Source organism: Homo sapiens, chromosome 1 (genome assembly GCF_000001405.40).
Source record: "Homo sapiens chromosome 1, GRCh38.p14 Primary Assembly".
NCBI classification, from domain to species: domain Eukaryota; kingdom Metazoa; phylum Chordata; class Mammalia; order Primates; family Hominidae; genus Homo; species Homo sapiens.
Genome location: NC_000001.11, coordinates 4,738,744 through 4,764,343, shown reverse-complemented (window position 1 = coordinate 4,764,343; position 25,600 = coordinate 4,738,744). Strand labels below are relative to the sequence as shown.

Genomic DNA, 25,600 nt, shown 5'->3' with positions numbered 1-25,600 from the left:
AAAATGCATCTTCCAAAACTGGGATGCTCACAGCAGAACAAGGCCACCAGCTTTTATGTCAGGGACACAAAGGAGTGTGCTGTTTTCTGAGTGACCCCGCAGAGTCTTCCAAGGGGTGAATGTATTCGTCAGGGTTCTCCAGAGAAACAAAACCAATGAAATATAGAGAGATCTATAAGAAGAGATTTATCATGGGATTGGCTCATGTGATTATGAAGGCCGAAAAATCCCATGGTCTTCTGTCTACAAGCTGGAGAACCAGGAAAGTTGGTGGTGTCACTCAGTCCAAGGCCAAGGGCAGGAGAAGATGGATGTCCCAGCTCCATCTACACCACAGGGGGTTCAGGTCAGTGGGCAGGGACACTGGTGGAAGTACCAGAGTCTAAAGGCCCAAGAACCAGGAACCTTGGAAGGTGTGGGGAGAGGGAGAGAAGGAGAGGGAGGCGGAGAGGGAGAAAGTGGGGGAGAAAGAGGGAGGGAGGGGGAGGTTGGAGAAGAGGGAGACAAAGAGGAGAGAGGGGGAGGGGGAGAGGGAGAAAGGCAGGGAGAGAGATGAGGGAGAGAGGGAGGAAGAGAGAGACAGAGGGAGAGGGAGAAAGGGCGTAGAGAAAGAGAGGGAGAGGAGGGAGGGAGAGGGAGAGAAGAGAATTTGCCCTTTCTTTGTCTTTTTGGTTCTGCCTGGGCCCTCAACAGATTGGATACTGCCCACCCACATGGCTGAATGCGGATCTTCCAGACTCAGTCCATTATTTCACGTGCCAATCTCTTCCAGAAACACCTTCACAGACACCCCCAGAAACCATGCTTTACCAGCTCTCTGGGCATTCCTCAGCTCAGTCAAGTTGGTGCATAAAATTCACCATCACAGTGGGTGATGGCCTGGCTCAGGGAAGTGCTTCAAGCCAACACTACGTGGAGATGAAGTCTCCTCTCGTCGGAAGTCCTTCCGGCTTGGGACAGGATCACATGCTACAGAAACAGAACTCCCCCTAAGGAAATGCTTTGCTGACATCTCACAGGACTCGGCTTGGTCACAACAACACAGTGAAGGGCAGTCCCCAGGGAATTGCCCCAAAGGGCCTAGGCAGGTGGAGCAGTGGTCCTCAGCCAGGGACATCTGGAATGTCTGGAGACACTTTGGGTGGTCACAGCTGTGGGTGGGAGTGGTTCTGCATCTAATGGGTAAGGGCCAAAGATGCTGGCAGAGGCCTCTGAGGCACAAGACAAGCCCACAGGACAGATATCACTGCAGCTGAAGCCTTGGGTTGGAGGGTCACCCCCAGTGTGCCTCAGAGGGTGAGGTGTGAGCCCATCCCTGGTTGTTTCCTTTTAACACCCCTTCTCCCTCCAACGCTTTCCTTATCAATAACAAAGCCAGGGAGGGAGAGAGGTCATGGGGCTAACACCTTGGAGCCACTGTAGAGGTCCATAACATGGAGTCACCCCAAGTTTCTTGGTAGAGGGTGCCAAGCCTCGTGCCAAGTGAATTAGCGCATTTACAGCTCACTACAGCACCATGAAGTGGGCACAAATATGTTCCCCAAGTCCAGAAGGAGGTTAAGGGATTTTCCCAAGGTTGCACAGTGCCATTTGGGGTCCCCACAATCACCCTCAGGCTTAATAATTCAGCAGGGAGACTCACAGAACTCAGAAAGCCATTATATTCTTGGTTATAGTTTATCACAGCACAAGGATGAGCACCAGGAAGACAGGCATGGGACAGAGTCCAGGGGAGACCAGGCACTTCCGGATGTCATCTTGCAGTGGAGAAATGTAGACAGCACTGTCTCATCCCAGCAATGATGTGTGACAATACGCATGAAATATCGGGGAAGCTCCCTTGGGCCTTGACGCCCAGAGTTTGTGCTGGGCTCTGCCACAGGTGACCCTTGGCATGGCTGACCCCAGTCTCCAGCCCCTCTGAAGGTCAAGCTAATACCACAATACCCCACGGCCCTAGTTCCCACCATAAGTTGTACCGTTGTATTATCTGGCCAGGCCCAAGGCCCCCAGGCAAAAAAGACACTTCTCAGGCAGGACATTCCTGAGGACATTCCTGAGGGAATTGGGGGCAAGGACATTTCTTTGGGCAAAATTAACCCTGTACTGCACACACAGCTAAGACATGGCAGACACAGAATTCAACAGGCTTGCTCCAGGCTTCAGCCCCTCACTGCTGTCCTGCGCAGCGTTTTGGAGGGTTGTATGAAGGATAGTTGCATTATGTTAGGTATAACTAAGACCTTGTTATTGTCTTTATCTGAAGATTATGTATAATTTCAGGAGATGTGTATGGGCTCAAGTTGACAAGGGGTGGACTTGTGATGGTTAATATTAAGTGTCAAGTCGATTGGACTGAAGGATGCAAAGTGTTGTTTCTGATGGGTCTGCGAGGGTGTCACCAAAGGAGATTAACATTTGAGTCAATGGCCTAGGAAAGGCAGACCCATCCTCAGTCTGGGTGGGCACAATCTAATCAGCTGCTAGCACAGCCAGAATAAAAGCAGGCAGAAGAATGTGAGAAGACTAGATGGGTTTAGTCTTCTGGCCTCCATCTTTCTCCCATGTTGGATGCTTCCTGCCCTCAAACATCGGACTCCAAGTTCTTCAGCTTTTGGACTCAGACTGGCTTCCTTGCTCCTCAGCTTGCAGACGGCCTATTGTGGGAATTGTGGGACCTCATCTTGTGAACGTGCGAGTCAATTCCCCTTAATAAACTCCCCTTATATATACATCAATCCTGTTAGTTCTGTCCCTCTAGAGAACCCTGACTAATACAGATTCTGATTGTTCTCTGCACAGAAATGGCCGATGGCCAATGGCCATGGCATCATGGTCCAGGGAGACTTGGAGATCTGTCTGGCTGTGGGCTCCAGAAGGGACCTGAAGTTGTACTCATGTCCCCTGACCCTAGGACTGGCTACCAATGTCACCCATGGGTTTCTTTGTATTTGGAGATTGCTCTGAACTAGAGAACACAGAGTGTTACAGACGGGACTCAGAGAGAGCCCAGGGGACAAGTCTTTGCTAGAAAGACCCCATGCCACCCAGCTGCAAGCCTAAACCAAGGCATCAATCCACCTTTCCTTCTCAGGGCCATCTTCTTGGCAAAATCTCAGCACTGCTGCATTCAAATCTGGGATTCTCAGCAGGGGCACCGGGAATGGGGTGAGGACGAGGTGGGTAGAGAGCTTGGGAAATGAATTCACTGGCAGTGAGATTTACCCTCTGAGTTAAAAGGCTTTCCAAAGGTTCGGGCACCCTGGGGGTTCAGTTAGGGTCAAGGGGGCACAGAGCCCTCACTTCACGTTTGCAAGATCATGAATCACCCAACAGCACCCTTCGGGGCCATGATCTCAATGCACATTTCACATGGAGACTGCACAACCTGTAAATCTCAAATATGTACATCTAGTCCTTTAGGAAAAGTTTGTGACTCCTGGCCTACAGGACCCCAAGAATCCCAGAGTGGGCACTTTATGTATGGCATGACTGTAGGGGGGCACAGATGGGCAGCCTCTGCTCACGGGCCCCCTCCATGGTGTGGCCACACGCCTTGGCGAAGGCCAAGCCTGCATATTCGCCCCTTGTGGCAAACAGAAACGCTTAGACACATTGCTGAATTGAATATAATGACTATGAAATGGGTTACAGGCGGAAGGAAGCCAGGCCCTGTCCATCTGCTCCTTCTGACCTGCATTCAGAGAATGCGGCCCAACAGATGGGAGGGGATCAGAATGCTGCATCGTGGCCGGGAAATGTGGCTCCCCAGCCATGGACCCTGGGCCATCCCAGGGGCGGGGGAGTCAGATCTGCTCCGTGACAGGCAGCAGCACCTTCTCCGGAGCAGAAAGTCCAGTGCTGGAAGAAGCAGAAACCCCCTCAGAGAGAGCATTCAGTGGTTCCAGGGCAGCTTCCAAAGCATGCATGAACACATGCATGAACACACATGCATGAACACACTCACATACACACACATGCACACACACTCATACACACACACAGACTCACACACGTTCACACACACTCATATACACACTCATGCCCGCACATGCACACACACACTCACACATACACGGACACACATGCTCACACACTCATACACATGCTCACACACACTTACATATTCACACACACATGCACACACACACAGGCTCACTCACAGAGACTCACACACGGCCTGAATTTTTGGCTTGTGTAAGAACAGAAGCCACTGATACTCAACTTTGAGCTTGGTGGCCGTTAGGGAAATGACCCATTTCTTTCACTGAACTTCTGCTATCATTTGAGAAGTTCCACAAAAGATGATGGCTCTGAAGGCCAGTGCTGGGGGGAAGGAAGTCGGCCTCGCTGCATGCTAAGGAGAGGTTCAGGGTTTGGGGAAGAGACACCCTATGGCCAGGGAGGCTTTGAACCAGCTGAGGGGCCTTCTGCTGCAGAGATGCTCCATCCACAGCTGGAGCCTGGCGGGAGGGGCTGGGCCCTGCGTGTTAGCAGCAGAGTCCCTTCTGACAACTCCCAGCGCCACCAGCACCACCGCACCCACTGTCTTCAGAGCCTACGTTTAGCTTATAAAATGGTCAGTACATCAAACCTCTAAACAAATGGCAAGGCTCCCCCTCCAAAAAGCCTGCCTGCACCTCGCTCTTGGAGGCATGGTGCTGTGACTTCAGTTTCCATTCAGCAGACATGTGCCTGGTGTAGGTGGGAGAAGCCATGGAAGGAAGGCACCCAGTCCAGAGGCCCCCGTACAGAAGGTCCTCAAAGAACAGTGGCCTCACCCTGGTTATGGTCACTGCAGAGTCTATGCAGAGGCTTGAGCCAGCTCCCTGGAGCAGAAGACACGGGGCTGGGCACACCCAATGCAGTCAGTGGTCCAGAGCAGACATTCTGCAAATTGGGACTAACATCAGTCCATCCAGCTTCCAGCCCCAGAGGCCAGATTCCTCCAATATTTTTATTTTGAACCGTCTTTCAAAATATGCTCCCTGTCTCCCAGACACCTAACCAAATTAAACAGACTATAAGACATTTGCCTCCCTGTGTTTCAAGCTCTCATCATGGCCTTAGTTTTAGTGATGTTTCAACACCGACCCTGGTGCAGGACTGATGTGCCATCCAGCGGCCCCATCTAAGAGGAGCAGGTCTATGCACACCTTTCAGAGTCAACACACGAGAAGGAGGAGCAAGGGATTCTCAGACACCAGCTGAGTACCAGAGGGTGTGCCAGCAGGCCAAAAAGAAGGCTCCTTACCTGCAGTGGCTGCAGACAGAAACAGTCACGGGTCAGTGACCAATATAATGAACGTGACCAAGTTTGGAGCTGGTTCAACCTGCATCCCGACCTGAGCTCTGGTGCTGGCCATCTTCAGAAGTACTCTGGAGTTTGCAGAGTGCACAGAAAGCCTGTAACCCAGCATCCAGCTCGGGGCAAGAGAGTGATCCGCTCTGTCCTGGGATCTCGGGTAGAGGGAAGAGCAGCGTCTGGGACTCAGCCCTGAGAAGCTGCCTTCAGCTCCTCTGCACGCCGGCTGTCCTGGGAGCTGTGCTGTCAATCGAGCAGCAGCCTGACGTATGCACCACACTCTCCAGCACAGGGTTGGGTGGGATCGTGTCTCCATGCTATGCCCATAGGACCTCCTGAGATGGTTAGGTTTTGTGTCCCCACCCAAATCTCATCTTGAATTGTAAGCCCCATAATCCCCACTTGTCAAGGGAGAGACCAAGTGGGGGTAATTGAATCATGGGGGTTGGGGTGGTTTCCCCCTTGCTGTTCTCATGGTAGTGAGTTCTCACGAGACCTGATGGTTTTATAAGGGGCTCTTTCCCCGCTTCACTCGGCATTTCTCCTTCCTGCCACCTTGTGAAGAAGGTGCCTTGCTTCCTCGTCAACTTCTGCCATGATTGTAAGTTTCCTGAGGCCACCCCAGCCATGCAGAACTGTGAGTTGATGAAACCTCTTTTCTTTATAAATTACCCAGTCTCGGGTATTTCTTTACAGCAGTGTGAGAATGGACTAATGCACTTCCTATGCCAGCCCCTGATGCTTCTTTCTCATGCTCGTATAGGATCTGACAGTCTCCCAAGGAGACATGATTGAAGAGTGACACACTATATTAGTCTGTTCTCACATCACTGATAAAGACATAACTGAGACTGGGTAATTTATAAGGGAAACATGTCTAACTGACTCACAGTTACACATCACTGGGGAGGCCTCAGGAAACTTACATTCAGGAAGGGGAGGCAAACATGTCCTTCTTCACATGGCGGCAGGAAAGACAAGTGCAGAGCAAAAGGGAGAAAACCCCTTATAAAACCATCAGATCTCATGAGAATGAGAACTCACTCATTATCACAGAAACAGCATGAGGGTGATCACTTCCATGATTAAATTCTGCCTCCCACGGGTCCCTCCCACAACAGGTAGGGATTACAGGAACTACAATTCAAGAGGAGATTTGGGTGGGGACACAGCAAAAGCATATCACACACCTTGCCTCAAGATATTATAGAAAAGCACTCTTCACTCATTCAATAACTGCTTATTCAGGACCTACTGTGTGCAGGCACTGGGCTAGACCCAAAGGCTGCAGTAGGGGAACAAAAGCAAGCAGTGTCCCCATCCAGAACAGGCTACAAACCAGGGTGATGAGGACACCAACCAACCAATCACAAATACTCATGCAAGTGCACCTGTGACAAGAGCTTCTACAACAGGAGGTACCATGAGTGTCTGTAGTAGACCCACTCCCCAGGTACCTGTGATGTGTTTCCATGGTGATCCCAAATCCTCACCCCCTCCAGCCACACTCATGCCAGGATGCTTTGCAGTTGTCTGTGGGCTGGGCCAGTGTTGGGAGCAAGGTGGTGCATGAGGCTGGCCATTTTGTCCGTTTGCCATCATAGTGAGAACATGCCCAGCCCAGCCCACGGGAGACTGAGAGACCCATGGGCCACAGCTGACAGCCCTAGCCCCCAGCTGAAGCCAGCCCAGATCAGCGAACAGCTGGCCACCCGGGGGCATGTGAGTGAGCCCCAGCAATACACTGGTAGCACTGCATGCCCCTGGGTCTGGTGCTGTTTGTGGCATTTCAAGGCATAGCTCACTGACAGGGGAGGCGGAAAGGGGAGGGGTCTGTGCTGAAGGCAAAGGAAAGGATCTTCTGAGAGAAAGACCAGAAGTGAGGCGGCCTCCACTGACACAGAGAATCAGATGTCTCCAGGAGCCACATGAAATCCTCCCAGCCTCGCTCGGGCTCCCTTATCACCTCCCCAAACAACGACTCATGTGTGAGCCTCTGTGTCAGGCTCTCATCTCATTCCAGGGAACCCCCGGCTCTGCCACAGGCATGGGGGAAAGGGCTGGGGGCAGGCAGGTGTGGCTGCATGACAGAGATGAGGCTAGGGAGGGCTAGGGGCAGCCTGAGGTTCCACACTTGGAGGGGGCACTGCAGGCTCCCTACCCTCCCCAAAGACCCTTCTCAGCATTCTGGGAAAACCCACAAGGATTCTCTGCTCAAATCAAGGTGGGAATTCTTTGTAGGAAGCTTAGTTCCCTCCTGGAGAGTCACAAAGCTCAGGTTTGAGAGGCCTCCAGAAAGCAAACTTGTTTCAGAAGGTTTGCTTAACCCAGCATCTCACAAATTTGGCATCTGCACTCTTCTTGCACAGAACCTAAGCGTCTGAATCCCAGGAAAACAAAACCTCCATGAACTCAGCAGGATGTAGTCTCAGAGACAGGAGGGAGCCTCTCTGTCTTGGGTTCCACTCACGGCAGGCCCTCCAAATCCAGCCATCTCTGTTCTGCCCTAGACCCTCCGTAAACATTTGTGAGTTGGAGAGAAAGAGCTTAGCTTGGGAGACATTGACCCAGGAGGGCATTACTTGCTGCTGAATCTTGGTCCAGACAAGCCCCTGCTGAGGAGTTTGGGTCAGAAAAGGTCAGGCCATGCCATGAGACTACCGCACACCTGGCCCAGGCACCCTGAGCACTGGTCCTGGGCTCCCAGCCAGGGATGCCACGGTGCGGACATAGTCATTTCACTCCTGCAGCCCTCCCTGAGCTGCTTTCGGCAGGGCCAAGCCCCTCACCACTGTGGGCTGCTTCTGTTTTGGGGCCCGTGATGTGAAAAGGGGACCACACTTCTATTTCTGTGTTGAGAGGTGCTTGCTCACTGATGCAGCTGCCAAACTCCACCCAACTCAGTGACAAAGATCCTCTGCCTGGCGAAACTCTCATCAGGCTCCTGCACCTTCTCCTAGGCTTGTCTGGGCACTTCCTTATGCATATGCTAAGCATAAGTCTATGCTTAGCAAAGAACCCTGCTAAGTGAGTTTAGCCAAAACCCCCACCCTCCATATCTGATCACCCTCCATTTCTGATCCGTTGTCATCCTTCACCCTTCCCCAGGTGACGTCTGATCAACCTGGCCTGCCTTCAGCAAGAACCCTGTTAGGTGGGTTTAACAGCCAGAACCCCCCTTACTCCAGTGTTTCCTCCTAGTCGTTTTTAATCCCCCCACCACCCCGCCCTACCCCTTGGCTGCAAATTCCCATTTGCCCAGGCTGTGTTCTAAGTTGAGCCCAATCTCTCTCCCCCATTGCGAAATCCCACTGTGTGGTCCCTGTACTTGCTGTGATGGCCCCAAGTAAAGCATTCCTTACAAGTAAAGCATTCCTTACTGCTCTCTAACAAGTCTCATTGAATAATTTTTCCTTTAACATCCAAGACATGCCTTCCAGTGAGGTCTGAGTCAAACCCCCGGTACTAGACTGAGTCCATGGGCAGGCAGGGGGTGGGGGTGGGGGCAGCTTAATCTCCCTGGAGCAAGGCCGGAAGCTTGCAAACAGAGCCCCGTGGCCAGGCAGGGTGCTCTGCCTGCAAAACCCACTGGCAGTGTCAACAGAGCCAGCAGGAGGGAGACGGTTATCCCCTTGTTTCATTAAAACCTCTATGCAGCCAGAGAGTGGGGAAATTGCAATGCAATCTTAAGTGTGGGGGTGGTGTGAGAGAGGAGGGGGACATGTGAGAGTCCCCCGCACCCACTTCCCACAGGGGTTCTGAGTGCTTCCTGCTGCAGAATATTGTTAAATTCAGTAACAGCTGCTGTCTTTATGACACCAACAGCCATTTTATTAAAAACAATAAACAGATAAATAGATGCACTCGAAAGGCCCCCAGTTACCCTCCCTGTTGCTCTTGGACAGTCACCTGGTGCCCCTTCTCCCACCAGGACAGGAGTGGGCAGTGCCACCCAACCACGGCTCCATGGGCTGCAGGGAGGGCACATGGTGAGAATCCCTGTGCTCATACCACCTGGCTCCAAGGCAGAGACACCTGGTGGGCCAGCTGGGGGTTCCTGCCCAGGCAGGGCTGATCTCCCTGCATCTTGCCCACTGGGGCTGTTGCAAGTCAGGACATGAAAGGCCCAGGGAGTGGTGGCTGTGAGCACTGTCCCCACAAATGCCCCAGGTTGAGATGAGGGGAGAGCAGGAAGGAGGACCCAAGGGCAGGCAGCACAAGGGAGGCTCGCTCGCTTGGAATAAGGAAGCCATAGGAAAACGGCCACTCCTTGCTTTGCGCTGGGGTCCCAGCAACGTCTTAATCCATGTTTCCAAGAAGGCCTTTCAAAGCACAAGACTGAGGCCCCGTCACCGAAAACAAACAGAAACAAACAAATAGACAAATGTTCAGTTTCAGTCTGGAAAATCAGAAGCTGGGAATTCCCTGTGAGTTTAGAAGACGTGAGATGTTGTCCTCTCATCCTCAAAGTGGCAGCTGCTTGAGGCCAGGAAGCCATCCATGGTCTGGGAAGCTTGGAATGGAGATTGGGACTGTCAAGGAGGATGGGCTGCCTGAGAGACTGGAAACTCACTTTCTCTCCACATAGTCCCAACCTAGTGGGTAGCCAGAAGGGAAAGGGAGTCTCTGCTACAGGAGAAACTGCCTTGAGAGCAAGAATTGGCAAACTTTTCCTGCAAAGGGCCAGAGAGTCAATAGCTTAGGTTTTACAGACCATACAGCTTTGGTAGTAACAACACACCCCTGCCTGTGTAGCCACAGACAAATGTAAACAAATGAGTGTGCTATGTGCCAGGAAGTCTTTAATTGTGGACACTAGAAATAGAATTTCAAATAACTTTCATGTGTTGCAAACCGTTATCCTTTTAATTTTTTTCAACCTTCTAAACATGACAAAACCATTCTTCGTTCCCAGGATGTACAAACGCAGGAACCAGGCAGGATTGGTCCATGGACTATAGCTGGTCAATGTCTGATTTAGTGCCATGAATCATCTCTATAGCTTTTCATGCACAATGTCTAGCATTCAACACAAGATTACCAGGCACACCAGGGGACAGAACCAAGCGAACAAAAACCAAAGAGAAAAAACAAAAGACAAAAGACATAGTCTCATAGAATAAGTAAGTATTGGAGTTATCAGACACCACCTTTAAAACAGCAGTTAGGCCAGGCGTAGTGGCTCACGCCTGTAATCCCAGCACTTTGGAAGGCTGAGGTGGGCGGATCACCTGAGGTCAGGAGTTCGAGACCAGCCTCTCCAACATGGAGAAACCCTGTCTCTACTAAAAATACAAAATTAGCTGGGCGTGGTGGTGCATGCCTGTAATCCCAGCTACATGGGAGGCTGAGGCAGGAGAATCCCTTGAACCCAGGAGGCGGAGGTTGCGGTGAGCTGAGATCATGCCATTGCACTCCAGCCCGGGTGACAAGAACGAAACTCCATCTCAAAACAAAAACAAAAACAGCGATTAATATATTAAAGAAAATAGATTACAAGATGGAGAATTTCAAGAGGAACTGGGACACATATAAATACTACTACCTTATATATAAATAATGTATATGAATAATTTACATATTTATATATGAATAATTCATAGGAATATTTTTAAGAAAATGGAGTAAATTCCTGCTAATTCCTGTGCAATCAGCCTTGGGAAATTTTCACGTCCTTTTTGGGTGTGGGTTTTCCCATCTGTGTAAGAGGAAACTGGGCCTAGATCAGTAAGCCTCAAGGTGTTCTCTTGGGCCTTAATGTAGCTTCCAGGGGCTGGAGAAGAATCAAAGAGGAAGCTGCAGGGCACCCACTCTCTCTCCATACACTGCTGTCTCCCCTCAACCTATTTTCCATGTTGGGGATGAAAGATTTAGCTGAAAAGAACTGTGAAAATCTCAGGACTGATTAGTGCACAGGGCCCTTCCAGCAGCAATGATATAAAACGCCGTAAAAGAAGGAGAAGATTCATGGTAGGCTCTCTGGTTGGCATCTTTAGAGGCAGGGATGGTACGGATGGAGAGAAGGTCATACAAGGGGACCCACTGGACAGTCCAGAACAAAGGCATGTGGCCAAGGAGCACCCCAGGAAGGGTTGGCGGGAAGTTTGAAGAGAACATGAGGAGGTGTGAGCAAAACAGGTTGTGTCTTTGGGGGCTCTGCAAGGCCTCCTTTTCCCTAGAGGACCCAGTCTTTGTCTTATGCTTTGAATTCTTCCACTTGGATCCTGGTTCTATAGTTGTCTTTCAAGAAGCAAACTCTTCTTGGAAGAATAAATTATTCAAATGATAGGGTTACTGGAGCATGGGGGTGGGCTTGGGAGCCCAGGATTGTTTCTTTGTGGCAGAAGAGATGCAGGGGAGCAAGACAGTCCTGGTCCCTGAAGCAAATAGTGACATCAAAGTGAGGGAAGGAAGGAGGCCAGACCTCATCAGAGCTGCATGCTGGAAGCTGTGCTGGGCTCCCTCCTGCTGATTTAATTTAAACTCCATAATATGATACTACTATTTATTCAGAGCCTGCTATGAGCCAGGTGGACCACTCGGTCCCCATAGCTCGTAAGATTGCGAATGGGGCTCACAGAGAAGGTATGGGCATTCTTCCTGGGCCATCCCATCGGCTCTGGGCACTGCCATTATCATCTCTAGAGCAATTACTGATCATGACGTCCTCTCTTGCCCAGATCCCTCACCTTCTGCATTCTCTTGTCTACTGGACATCTTTCCTGGGGAAATTCCAAGCTCCTCAACCACACAAACAACTGTTTCTTTCCTTGTTCCTTCATCTCGGTGAAACAAAGCCACCAGTGTCTTCTCATCCCCCTGTCCCTCCTCCTCCTCTCCCTCCTCCTCTCTCTCCTCCCTCCTCCTCCTCTCCTCCCTCCTCCTCCCCTCCCTCTGTTCCTCCTTTAATGACATGCTGTGACCTTACTGCTTCCCTTTCTCATGTGTCTGAGATGGCACTTCCTCCGCCCACCTGAGCCCTATACTTTGCAGTCACTTGCCCAGCTAACTCACTCCTGTGGGCACCACTATTACCATCCAGCCAGATGCCAGGTGCCTGGCATAAGAAGGTCTGGTTGCATTAGGCTGTGGGGTGTGGGCAGGGACTCAGTGCACCCTGTCTGACTCCTCAGCTGCTGTGTCCAGAGTCACCTGTGAACTCAACTTCTGTTCCGGCCCTGCCTTTGTGTTGGCTGCTTCTGTGCCCGTGACCCAATCTTACTGTACACATAGTGGAAACGCACCTTGCAGAGAGCGTGAGTGCTTTCTCCCTTGGCTTGTGTTTCAACTGCACTCTGTATTCCTGGACAAACTGCCATCATCGGTGTGGCCACCAGGCCTCTGTGCTCTTTGGATGCAGTGGCTGGGTCCTGGGTAAAGTTGTGGACAAGACGACTCCCAGACAGAATGTGCGCAGCCAGGAGGATGAGCTGCCAGACCGTGGGCTCCAGGCAGAGGCAGGTGTCTCTCTTGTTCATGACAGTGTCTCCAGAGAAGCAGCAGCCACATCATAAATACTTGGCAAATGAATGACTGATTGAACGAGTGAGTGAAGATGGCATCTGACTTGGTTCCAGGTGCCTCCCTTTCTTTTCAGCACTCTCCTTGCTGGGGCACACCTGGCTGTGGGCTGGGACCTCTCTGCTAGCTCCTATGCCCTGCTGAGTCAGGAAGCATCAGCTAATAGGTTCATCACATCAGCTACATTCTGGAACTGAGCGGAATTCGAACGTTTGTCAGTGGCCACCTCCACCAGGGAAGAGGCTGTGCTGGACGAAGGTGTCCAGCGACCAAGGCTGGATCCTTCCCAGGTCACAAAAGGCTCTGCCGGGTCCAGACATGGTGCCGTCATCTCCAGACAAAACAGAGGGGGAGAAATGGGTGGTCTGGAGGAGGAGCACCTGTCCAGGTAGGTTCCCAAGGCAGCCAGGGGAGCGAGAGGCACTGGGGGTTGTGCAGGAGGCTGCCTTGGGGCCATGCAGATGGTTCCCGTCATGGCCTGGTCACTATCGAGTGGTGACCTGCCAAAAGGGATCATCTGACCACTCAGAGTCTCGGATTCTACACTGGGGATTGGGAGAAGCTGACCTTTCCACTGGCCCTCCCAGCCCAGGTCAGGGGATTGGAGGTCTTTTCCCTGCTTCCTGGCAGTTCCATCTAGTATGCCACCAGCTCCCTGGGACAATAAACGTGTTGCTGGAGAGGAGAATAACCACCTCACTCCTCCTTCTTCTCAGAAGGTCAGATCCCTTCCTCTCTGGTCCAATCAGACCAACTTGGATCCCTGGTCTTCTTCCCAAGGTGACAGCAGCATCCTCTAACAGTGATGGAGGAGGAGGGTGTGTCACTGGAGATTTCTGAGGCTCACTGTGCCCATCCCAGCACACCCTACCTCCAGCCCTGCTCCTAGGGAACCCACTCATCCCAGCCTGGCAGAGGGCACTGCTCTGTCTGTAACTGTGCCCATCCCAGCACACCTCACCTCCAGCCCTGCTCCTAGAGAACCCACTGATCCCAGCCTGGCAGAGGGCACTGCTCTGTCTGCAGAGGCTGTGGCTGCCACATGCACTTTTCACTTCAGGCTCACAAGCCATTTTCAAAACAGTTATGAGGATGACAACGTGGTCCTGCAGGGCTCTGTGTCACCTCCCAACTCATTCTATTTTTAGCATACAGGTCTCCAGAGCAGTGAACAGCCAGGCTCTTCCAGCATTGGCAGCGAGAAGTATGTTCACACCTCCACATCCCCTTAGGTGCATGTGTGTGTGTGCACACACACTGTCCTGCACATGCACACACAAATGCATGAACACACACAAATACATGCACACACGCACACACAAACATGGGCATGCACACATACACACAAACACATGGCCAGGGACAAATGCACACACATGTCCCCAGACACACATGCACAGCCAAACACATATGCTCTAGCATATACTGACCCAAACACAACCAGACACACTGGCATATATAGATACAAACACACACACACACACAAACACATGCACACACAGACACACAAACACATGGACATGAAAATACCTATGCCCACTCACACACAAACATACACACACATGAATGGGCACATGCATACACAAAAACACTAGCATATATGAGCACAAAACCCAACACACACACATTTGCAAACAGGGACACAAAAACACAGACGCACGGGCATGGACAAACACACAGGCGTGCACGAGTGCACACACACAAGAACTGCATGCATGCAAACACAGGCACACTCTTAAAGGCACAAGCTGTGCCACACACACACCCACACACCCTTCATGAAACACCTGCCTGGATGCAAGGCCTCTGGTACACAGGGCCGCTGCCCCTAAGGAGTTGGGGTCACTGTGTCCCTCTGTGCACAGCTCCCGGTGATGAGGGAGATGCACCAAATACACTGGTTTGTTTTTTCCTGGTCCTCCCCACTCTTGCCTCCCCCTGGCCTCCACAGTGTGCCTCCCCACGTCCGTGGAGGGCTGGGTTGCCCATCCTCCGGAAGCCGGCAGTGGAGAAGACAGAGGCATATAAGCGCATGACAGCAGCTGCATCCATGCGAGGATCCCACAGATCTGGGGCCATAGCGTCTCGTGTCTCGCTTTTTACAGAAACCCCATGGGTGACAGGGTCAGTGGAAGGAACGCTGTCTTGATTTTGCTGATGTAAAGGCTGAGGTTCCAGGGACAAGGTGACTTCTGCAAGGGGAGGTATTCAGCTTCGAGCAGAGCAAGACTTGGAGGCAGTGCCTGACTCCATGTCTGTGGAAGGTGTGTCCGCCTGATATGGTTTTGTCCTGAGAGCATCTGCAGGTCCCAAGGGACCTAAGCTGGACACACTCTGCTCACCGTGTGAGCTCACGGAAGGCCCTTTACAACCCAGCAGAGAATATGACGTTGATAAGACTGGAACGAGCTGGGCACTGCGAACTGGACTGCAGGGCCCTGGCATGCTGGGGACAGTGTTGCTGGTTGAACCGTGTCCACCAGAAATGAGAGGCTGAAGTCCTGGCTCAGTCCACTCCTGCGGTTCTCACACCTTACATTGGGTGACTTATAAACACAGACTTATTTCTCACAGTTCTAGAAGCTGGAAGGTTCAAGATGAAGGTGCTGGCAGGTTTGGGGTCTAGCAAGGGCTGCTCTCTGCTTCTAAGATGGTGCCTTTTGCTGCATCCTCAAGTGGCAGAAAGGCAAAAAGACTCCAGGGTGCCCTGTCATCCTCTTTTGTAAGAGCCCTGGTTCCATTCTTTTTTTTTTTTTTTTTTTTTTTTTTTGAGACAGAGTCTCACTCTGTCACCCAGGCTGGGGTGCAGTGGCACAATCTAGGCTAACTGCAACCTCAGCCTCCCCAGTTTAAGCGATTCTCCTGCCTCAGCCTCCTGAGTTGCTGGGATTACAGGCACACGCCATCATGCCTGGCTAATTTTTGCATTTTTAGTAGAGACAGGGTTTTACCATATTGGCCAGGCTGGTTTCAAACTCCTGACCTCAGGTGATCTGTCCACCTCAGCCTCCCAAAGTGCTGGGATTACAGGCGTGAGACACCGCACCCAGCCAGAGCCCTGTTCCATTTTTGAGGACCACAACGTCGTGACTACCAGTCACAGAGGCCGACGCCTAGGCAGTGCCTCCCCCTTGCAGGTGCTGGCCGGAGACACACACAACAACTCAGCTCACCCTGGCATCATGAGTAACAGGAGATCATGCATGTAACACACCCAGCACAGCAGGGTGATCACGCACGTGATGCACCCCACACAGCAGAAGCGCTGAGATGGGACAGAGGCCATGGGAGGCTCTTCCAGGGTGAGGGTCAATGGGAGGGAGTAGCTGATGGACGGGGAGGGGAGGATGCAGGGGCGAGGATGAGGCCAGAGGCAGTGGCTCTGAAGGTCAGGTGAGGGGATGGCCAGGTTGACACTGTGTAGGGCTGCATCTGGCAGCAAAATCTGGGTGCGGGGACACAGTGGGTGGGGTTTGGGTTGGACAGTAAGGAAAGGAGGGTTTTTTTGCTTTGTTTTTTTTTTTTTGAGACAGAGTCTGGCTCTGTCACCCAGGCTGGTGTGCAGTGGCATGATCTTGGCTCACTGAAACCTTGGCCTCCAGGGCTCAAGTGATTCTCGTGCCTCAGCCTCCCAAGTAGCTGGGATTGATTACAGGTGTGTGCCACCACGCCCGGCACATTTTTGTATTTTTAGTAGAGACAAGGTTTCGCCATGTTGACCAGGCTGGTCTTAAACTCCTGACCTCAGGTGATCTGCCTGCCCCAGCCTCCCAAAGTGCTGGGATTACAGGTGAGCCATCATGCCCGGCCAACGAAGGAAGCTTTCATCTGAGGTCGGCAATTGTGGACTTAGACTCAGCCTAACTGTGATCTATCCACTCCTTCCATGCATATGTGTGGATGGCACGCAGTTGCTCTCACTCAAGGTGGAGGTTTTGCACGTCAGGTAGAATGGGGCCCAAGAGGGACAAGTGGGAGGATGGTTCAGTGCCTAGGAGGGAAGGGGGCGGCACAGCCAGACCTCACATGCGCTGGAGGATGGGGATTTTGAAAGAAGCCTAAAGGCCTGAAAGCCCAAGGAGGAGGAGGAGGCCCTGGCCAACCCGGTCTGCAAGACAGCAGCAAGAGACAGAAGCTACATGAGGGCCCCCAGGAGAGGCAACAGAGGCCGGGTGAGGTGGAGAGGGGGGATGGCATTTGGAGGAGCGGGGAACAACTCAGGAGCAGTCAGGGGTGTATCGGAGTGTGGGCAAGTGGAGAGGGCCAGAGTGCAGCCAAGTCAGGACATGCACAGAGCCCTCCTGGAGGGAGTGAGGCTGACGACGGCACAGCAAATGCCCGCAAGGACAGACCTCTCAGACCCCTCTGTGGGACCTCTTCCTCTCCTTCTCTCCCTTTGATGCCACATCTGTCTCCTTTGGCTCTGGCTGACGTCTGGTTTTGTGTCAACATGGAGGCTGGGACAGTGGCGTTCTCCCACAGGTGACCTCACGTGAACACGGTCTTGTCCTGCCTGGACTACAGAGTGAATGAATCTCTTCTCTGCAGACTAATCTGGTGCTTTTACCTTGGCGCTCCTATCAAGACCCACAGTCCCTGCAGTGCGGGGTCACAAGGCTGGTGGTGAACACCTAGGAGGTGTCGTACCACCAGCTGCCTTGTCAATGAAAGTCCCAGTGGTGGGGAGGCAATTTCCCAGGCTGGGGAGCACACAGGCCAATCTATGACACCCAAATGTGTGGGCAAACCACGAAACCTGGTGTTCACTCCATGCCCCTCTGTCACCCCAGAGGCTGCCTGCTGAGCTGCAAGGAATAGAATTCAATAGCAGTTGTTTGTACTAAGTAGGACAATTTTTCATTGTAAGCCCTAAAACGTATTTTCGGTCATGGTACAAAATTAGCCTTAGAAGGCACCTGGAGTGGTCAATTGTTGGACAGTTGTGGTCCCTGCACAGATGCTGATAAGGGGTTACCATGTGTTGGGAGCCTTGCTCTATGCCAGGTGCTCTGCTGGGCCCGTCCCACCCGTTATTGCTCATGTTTACAGTAATCATCTCACAAGGTGGGCGATGCGGGTTGAACGGTGCTCCCTCCCCCAAAAGATATGGCCACATCCTGGCTCAGGTACCTGAGCATGGGACCTTATTTGGAGACAGGGTTGTGCAGATGTGATTAGCTAAGGATCTCAATTGCCTGGGACTCAGGGTGGACCCTAAATCCAATGACAAGTGTCCTTATAAGGAAAGGAGAGGGATATTTGAGACACATAGAGATATAGAGGAGGCAGCCACGGGATGATGGAGGCAGAGACTGGGGAGATGCAGCCACCGTCCGAGGAATGCCTGGAGTCCCCAGAAGCTGGAAGCAGCGAGGAAGGCTCCTCCCCAGGAGCCTCCAGAGGGAGCATGGTCCTAGGACACCTTTCTTTCAGACTTCTGGTCCCCAGAATTATGGAAGAATAAATTGCTGTTGTTTTAAATCACCCATGTGCGAAACTTGGTTACAGCAGCCACGGGAAACCAATGCCATTGGCTTCACTGTTTTCATTTTGCAAAGAGGAAAGGGAGGCTGGGAGAGGCTGAGACACTAGTGCAGTTTACCCGCAGTCTGGTCAGTGGCAGAGCCTGATTCCAGAAACCATGCTCCCACCACGTGTCCCCAAGTCCTAGCCAAAGACTGAAAGCAGTCGACTCGCCCCCAGCAACAGAGGGACATCAGGACGCTGGCCTTGGAGAGGAAGCGCTGCCCAGGACCCAGCAGCCTCCTTTGACTCCACCCACCATCCCCACGTGACCTGCTGACTCTGACTCAAAGCCAAATGCACAAGGTATGTTTCACACCTCTTGGAGGAGGCCTTTCATCTCCCATCCTCTGTGCTCTGGCAGTCCCAAGGTGTGCATAATTCATTCCTAAGCACCAGCTAGTCTGAGAAGGGCACTGTGAACAGCAGAGGAGGGTAAGGCAGTCTGGGTGGAAGGAGGAGAGGAAATGGAGGCTGGCTTAAAACCCCAGGCCCCCTCCTTCTGTGGAGCGGAGCTTTATCCTTTCCTCATCAGAGCCTGGCAGAGCCCTGCCTGCCCTCCAGGATGGAGGGCAGGGCAACATTCCTCCCAAAGGTGTGGACAGAAGCAAGGCTGGTAATGGGGGAGAAAGGCAGAGCCCTGGAGACCTGTCCCCTCCCTCTGAGGATGGAACCCAGTGCACCTCGACACACATACCCACAACAGCCTTCTCGGTGCTGGCAGAGGTGGGAGGGCTCCAAAACAACTCATTTAGGAAATTGTCGCCCTAGACTCTCCAGCAAACTCCAGGCCTTTGAGGGTGTCTCTGACGTCCATTTGTTATCATTGCACATTGTTATTTAGTATGATTGCATGTGATTATTTTGATTATTTCAATTCTAGCTGTGGAGGGGAAGAGCAGCTGGAGGTTCTGCTAGGATGGGCTCACTCAATCCTTCCAAGGACGCTCTGTCTGAGGGCTTCCTTCCTCGGTGCAGTGGCCTAACCACTGGCCCCAGGACAGGGAGGTATAGGAGAGGTCTGGACCCTGTGGCCCCTCAGGAGCCTCCCAGCCCCGAATCCGGGCCCTATTAGGTCTGCCTCTCTCCTGAAGCCCCGCGTCCCAGGTGGGTGTGTGTCCTCTGCTTGTCTGTCACACTTAACAGTGACACCAGCAGGGGCAAATCATGTCTGGCCTGGTATTTGTCTTTATGTGTGCATGGTATGTGTGCCCATACCTGTGTGCATGCAAGCGTGGGCCTGTGTTTCGTGTCTGCATGTGGGCATGTGTGCCAGGGTATATGTGACTGTGTGTTATGTGCACATGGTGAGACATGAGGGTGGGCGTGCTTGGGCATGAATGTGTGTGTGTGTGTGTGTGTGTGTGTGCATATGCATGTGGGCATGTGTGCATGTGCATGTGTGCCCCTTCATGTTGTGTGCACACAGCTGGGTGTGAGGGAAGCATGCATGGGTGCATCCCTGTGTGTGCACGTGAGCAGGTCTGCATCTGGATCCTGCCCTGTCTTTCTGGCTAGGCCCAGCCAGGCCCACATCCTCCCCCGAGGCCTCTCCCCACAGCACTCAGCAACATGCTCTCTAATACAGTTTAATAATTGCTCTGCTGATTTCTTCATTGACCTTGGACAAATCACTTACGTTCTCAGCCCACTCATCTACCAGAGGAAAAAATACGTGAGAGTCCTTTAAAAATCACAGAGCTTTACACAAACGGAGGGTTCCGTGTGAGGCTTCTGAACAGCAGGAACGGCTGCACACCAGACGAGACACGCCTGCCATCAACATGTGGTGGCCAAGGCTCCTTCTGGGTCAACCCACACATGCGTGGCTGCACCAGCTCGGGCCTGGCTTTGCTGCCCTTGACAAAATGACTCAGGCCCTCAAAGGCCCGTTTGATCTACACACTCAGACGTCCCTGGAGGTCACGTCCCACTCTCGTCCCATGACCCCTTTAACTATCCCCTCAGCCCTGTTCACAGAGATCCCAGCTCTCTCCCAGATAAAAAACACCACATCACTTCACCTCCGCATCCCAACCTGGAGAGCCTGGAGAGCCTGGAGAGCTCTCTCAGTGATGGTCCAGGGTGCCGTGGCCCCACCTTCTCCCGTAATTATATCATCAAGACTGAATCAGCATGCAGGCATCATTGAAGTCAGGAGGCCAATTATTCCCCAATTGATTCTGACCAGGTAAGTCAGGGATTGTTCTCGGCGAGACCCCCCATAGATGAAGTTCATCCAGTTTGACCTTCATTTTGCAAATCTGTCCCAGCTGCACAGAGCACTTAAGGGTTCAGGTCAGTATGTAAAAGATAAATTCGTTGAAGGGTGCAGAGGGGAAGAAATTAGAAAATCATTCTGGCCAATTGATTGCAAGCTCCTGGCAATGTCTCAGCATTTCTTTGCAGGCCTGCTGTCGGGCGGATGGAGGGATGGATGGATGGATGAATGAATGAACGCGGACACATACGCATTAACACATATCTGGATGAACGAATATGCAGGGAGCAGGCGCGGGTGGCAGCTGCACTTCCTGTAAAGTATAAGTTCCCTGTTTCTCCACCCATCCTAAGCCCCTTCCCTTTTAGTTTTCCATAACCAGGTGCACTGTCTCGAGCCCCTTTTCTGCCCTCCTTCCCTGGCCCTGCCCTCACTACCACAGGCTGATCCCCAGCTAAGATGTGCGCTCTTGTGCTGAGGTCTTTGCTTTTGTGACCTCTGTCTCTTGTTCTATTTCCTCCTTGGGACCTGATGAAATTCCTATAATGTGACAGGAAAGAGCCAAAATCACTCTGTGGGGCCCCAGCAGAGAACACATGTCCATTTCAACAAGAGCCTTTGAGGGTAGCAGTTGGCAGGTGGATGTCACTGCAGCCACCAAGGGGTAATCTGTGGGTGCAGGACAAGTTCCAGGATCCCCAAGTCATTCCCCAGGGAGCCGTGGAATCCGTACAGGTTCTGACGGGGACAGGGGACCTGAGGGGTATTCTCCAGAACATGCTAGCACACTTGTGTCTACCTCATCAGGCAACTTGACGTTGAAATCTGACCCAGTGGGTCGGTCAGTCGTCAACATCACCATCATCCCCACATTTACCCCACCAGGAGGGGTCACCCAAAGAAAACAGCATGAAGACCATTCATAGTGCAGCAACCTCTGAATCAGTATCAGGGCTTTTGGGGAAAAGTAAAAGTACTAACCCTAAACCATTTTCTACCTGGGCTAGGGTGGGGGAACGGTTGTGTTTCATGAAGCCAACCCACATTTTTCTTCCTGTATAGGTGTCTGAGATTGCAGAGAGTGACTTAAGAGAGGAATTGAAAAGGCTGTCAGCTTTTATATTGCATCATTTGATTTATTTTACACTATAGTTAAAAAAAATTTCGAACTTCGAGAAAACAGGAAAGGACAGGACAAAGACACCCTTAGACCTTCCCCAGAGCCCCCAACCCTGATTCCCCAGGGGCCCCAAGCATGCAAAGAGACCCCATTCAGGCTCCCAACTTGCATTTGAGTCTCTCGTCTTCCAATTGGGAACAGTTTCCCAGCCCTTCCTAGACTTTCATGACCTTGGCATTTTGAAGATTACAGACCAGTCATTTTGTAGAATGTCCCTCAATTTTGATTTGCCTGACATTTCCTCATGAACAGATCAGGTTATGAATTTGGGGAAAGAAAATCACGAAGCCGTACTGTGTTCTCAGCGACTCCAATCAGGCAGCGCAGGAGCTGATCTGTCCTTTTACTGGAGAGGGGGTGACTTGGATCACTAGGGGGCAGAGGTGCCTGCAAAGGATCTTCAGGGTAAAGTCACTCCCTGGCTTTGCGTGGCCAGCATTTCATGGGAGATAACTGGAGATGAATGTCCCATTTGCCATCCAACGTTCACCCACTCTTTAAAACTCACTAATGTCTCTTGCCTGAATTAATCATTACTATGATGGTTTCAATGGTTCTAATTCCATCATTCCTTTCACGTGCATCACCTGGCATTCTACCATAAAGAATTGTCCTTTTCCGTGTCTTATTCACTCAGGGATTCCACTTTATTATGTGAGTTAGACCAGAAATTGTCTCTGATTTGGCCAGTGGGAGCCCCTTTGGGCTGGCCTCTGGGTCTTTTAGACAGGTGCCCATCATTCCGTGAGTACTTTCTTACTTTCTGGAACAAGATATTCCAGACTTGACTCCTGCTCTCCCTGCCCCAGTCCTGGAATCAGCCATTTACCCAATGAGCCCTGGTTCCAAGAAATTCTGCAAACTGAGGCCTGGGTGCTGGGTATGCCCATCTCTGCTGGAGCATCACTGCCTAGCGCCTCTTAATTGGAGAGCCAAGAAATGTATGTATGAACACTCGCATTTGAAACCCTGAGTTTATACTGACACCTCTGTGTTGAAATGAAAAACGTGTCCCCAAGTTCATGTCTACCCAGAACCTCAGAATGTGATGTTTTTTGGAATAGGGACTTCAAGAATGAATTAAGATGAGGTCACACATGACTGGTATATTTGTAAGACAGAGAGGACCCACAGACACACACAGGGCCGTAGGGAAAGAGAGGCAGAGATTAGAGTGGTGTGGCCACAAGTCAAGGGACGCCAGCAGCTCCCAGAAGCTGGAAGAGGCCGGGAAGGGTCCTCCCCTGGAACCTCCAGAGGGAGCAAGACCCTGCACACACTCTGATTTGGGCTTCCTGCTCCAGACCTGTGAGAGGATGCCTTTCTACTGGGTTAGGTCACCTGGTCTGTGGTCCTTCCTTGCGGCAGCTCCAGGACACTCGGATGACCTCCAAATCTAGCCAAGACCCTGGGCTCACTCTCACTCCTTCTCCCAGAGAGAAACCTAGCTCCCGTTTTCTGTTTGTTCATCCACCCAACCCCTGCGTGAGGCAGACCTCCCAGCCCTGCCAGCCCCTCCCTGCTCTCATGTCCTCCTTGAGTGGCCATGGCCCCCAGGCTTTCAACGAGACTTTGTAGTTGCAGAGTCGGACAGCTCCTCTGCTGCACAACATTCAGGAAGTGTCCTTGGCCCCAAGTCTTCGTGAGGATGAAGGTGGGTGCCAGACGCAAGACACCTGGACCCCACCCTGCAGGAAGCTTATTCTGGCAGATCCTTTCTCTTTTTAAAATTTTTAAATTGTGATAAAATGCACATAAGATAAAATTGACCATCTTAGCCCCCCCCGCTTTTTTTTTTTTTTTTTTTTGAGACGGAGTCTTGCTCTGTTGCCCAGGCTGGAGTGCAGTGGTGCGATCTCGGCTCACTGTAAGCTCCTCCTCCCGGGTTCCCGCCATTCTCCTGCCTCAGCCTCTGGAGTAGCTGGGACTACAGGCGCCCGCCACCACACCCGGCTAATTTTTTGTATTTTTTAGTAGAGACGGGGTTTCACCATGTTAGCCAGGATGGTCTCGATCTCCTGACCTTGTGATCTGCCCGCCTCGGCCTCCCAAAGTGCTGGGATGACAGGCGTGAGCCACCGTGCCCGGCCAGCCACTTTTTAAGCGTACAGTTTGGCAGCATTAAGCACATTTACATTGTCAGGAAATCACCACCACCCTCCAACTCCAGAACTTTTTCATTTTCCCAAAACTGAAACTCTGTCCCCATCAACACTCACTCCCCATCCCCCTCCCCCAGGCCCTGGCACCCACCATTTGACTTTCTGTCTCTATGCATTTGGTGACTCCAGGGACCTCATATGAGTAGAATCTGACAGAGTTTGTCCTTTTGTGGCCGGTTTATTTCGCTTAGCAGAATGTCCTCAAGGTTCAGCCACATTGTATCATATGCTGTAATTTCCTTTGGTTTTAAGGCTGAGGGATATTTCATTGTGTGGATGGACCACATTTTGTTTATCTGCTCATCCATAGATGGACACCTGGGAGGTGTGACTTCGAATATTGTAAATAACGCTGCTGTGAACATGGGTATGCGCACATCTCTCTGAGACTCCGCTTTAAATTCTTTTAGATACACCCCGTCAGGTCCTTTCTCCTTCCAAGATGAGAGGTGTCGTGAGCTGGACGGGGAGTGGCCACCATGGTGGGAAGCCATCCCGGAAGCCCTCTCAGTAGATGATGGGTAAGGCCTGGGGTGGGCTCTGCCCCTTATCAGACACTCTGATGCCAAAGGCACAAGAAGGAACCTCAGACTTTAGGAGGGATGCAGAAGAACCAAACACAATTCAACGTTGAAGTGAGGGCCGCCACAACCATGCTGTGTGGTGAAGAACAGAAATCACAAGTACAAAAGAAAACAGAAAAAAAAACAACAACCAAAAACAGAACCTGCTGCCTCCTCCCCCTCTTCAGATGGTTTTTTCTCCTTTTAAAAATATGCTCCAAGGGTCATTTCTGTGCAGTGAGAGAACACGAAAAATACCAACAGCTCGTGTGAAATACCAGCCAAGATGACTAAGAAAAGATGAAATGCAAATTGATCTCTGCCTCTTGGGAACTGATTTAAGAATCTGTTCAAAATCAAATTAACTTTTTGACTTATTTCCCCAGAAAGCTCAGAAGGTGGCAAGGAGACCTGGAGTTAACACGAGGGTAGGGGGTGGACTGCATTCCAAATGCATTGCCAACAGTGGGCTTCCCAGGCCTGTCGCATGACCATTGCTGCCGACAGACGGGAGATGTCTGTGCTTGGACGGACCCACTTTCCAAGGCCGGCAGACCCCAAAGCCTGCCGATACTTGCACTGGGCAAAGTGGGAATTATTACGCAGGTTTGCAGCATTGTGAGCAAAGTGGGATGCTGTGTGTGAGATCGTCTTTCCCCGCCTGCAGTTTACTGTGGGGTTGTGGAAGGGCACCCCCAGGACGAGAAGACTCTCCCACATGTGTTTGAGTGGGACATCCACCAGTTTTCTGCGTCATTTAGCTCCAGGTACCAGGAGTCTCACCAAGAATTCCGGTGCCCATGGAAAATGCAATCTCCCGGGAGAGAGGAGAAGCAGTGGCCCTGCCTCCCCCACATCTCAATTCCCAACATGAACTTGGTGTCCAAACCCCCAGATGTGCCCCCACGCCCTTCCCACCTCCTTCTCCTCCTAAGTGGTCACCTTGCCCTGCTGCCAGGGCCCCAGGTCTTCCAGCGGTTCTCTCCTCTGAGTTCTCCTGCTCCTATGGGGCCTCCCTTCATGGAAGAGCCAAGTCAAGTGGTGGCCTCCGCCCACATTTTGTCCATGCATGTCCTAGGCACTTTCATTTCCCCCTGGAGTGGAATCCCTAGCAGGGCTCCCCGC

The 25,600-nt window shown here is 51.8% G+C and overlaps 1 protein-coding gene across 3 annotated transcripts in view, besides 5 other annotated features; it reads right to left on the bottom strand.

Moving 5' to 3' along the window:
* Positions 1–25,600, bottom strand: part of AJAP1 (adherens junctions associated protein 1) — a 137,926-nt gene that overhangs the window by 28,191 nt on the left and 84,135 nt on the right. The window lies entirely within an intron of this gene.
* Positions 1,381–1,881: an enhancer, noted in NCBI's record as "H3K4me1 hESC enhancer chr1:4822523-4823023 (GRCh37/hg19 assembly coordinates)". NCBI's record gives its function as "activates a minimal SCP1, AML or CMV promoter by ChIP-STARR-seq in naive H9 embryonic stem cells {active_cell/tissue: H9 hESC(naive)}" and the evidence as "EXISTENCE:reporter gene assay evidence [ECO:0000049][PMID:30033119]".
* Positions 9,082–9,943: an enhancer, noted in NCBI's record as "OCT4-NANOG-H3K27ac-H3K4me1 hESC enhancer chr1:4814461-4815322 (GRCh37/hg19 assembly coordinates)". NCBI's record gives its function as "activates a minimal SCP1, AML or CMV promoter by ChIP-STARR-seq in primed H9 embryonic stem cells {active_cell/tissue: H9 hESC(primed)}" and the evidence as "EXISTENCE:reporter gene assay evidence [ECO:0000049][PMID:30033119]".
* Positions 12,051–12,888: an enhancer, noted in NCBI's record as "H3K4me1 hESC enhancer chr1:4811516-4812353 (GRCh37/hg19 assembly coordinates)". NCBI's record gives its function as "activates a minimal SCP1, AML or CMV promoter by ChIP-STARR-seq in naive H9 embryonic stem cells {active_cell/tissue: H9 hESC(naive)}" and the evidence as "EXISTENCE:reporter gene assay evidence [ECO:0000049][PMID:30033119]".
* Positions 19,251–19,751: an enhancer, noted in NCBI's record as "H3K4me1 hESC enhancer chr1:4804653-4805153 (GRCh37/hg19 assembly coordinates)". NCBI's record gives its function as "activates a minimal SCP1, AML or CMV promoter by ChIP-STARR-seq in primed H9 embryonic stem cells {active_cell/tissue: H9 hESC(primed)}" and the evidence as "EXISTENCE:reporter gene assay evidence [ECO:0000049][PMID:30033119]".
* Positions 19,752–20,252: an enhancer, noted in NCBI's record as "H3K4me1 hESC enhancer chr1:4804152-4804652 (GRCh37/hg19 assembly coordinates)". NCBI's record gives its function as "activates a minimal SCP1, AML or CMV promoter by ChIP-STARR-seq in primed H9 embryonic stem cells {active_cell/tissue: H9 hESC(primed)}" and the evidence as "EXISTENCE:reporter gene assay evidence [ECO:0000049][PMID:30033119]".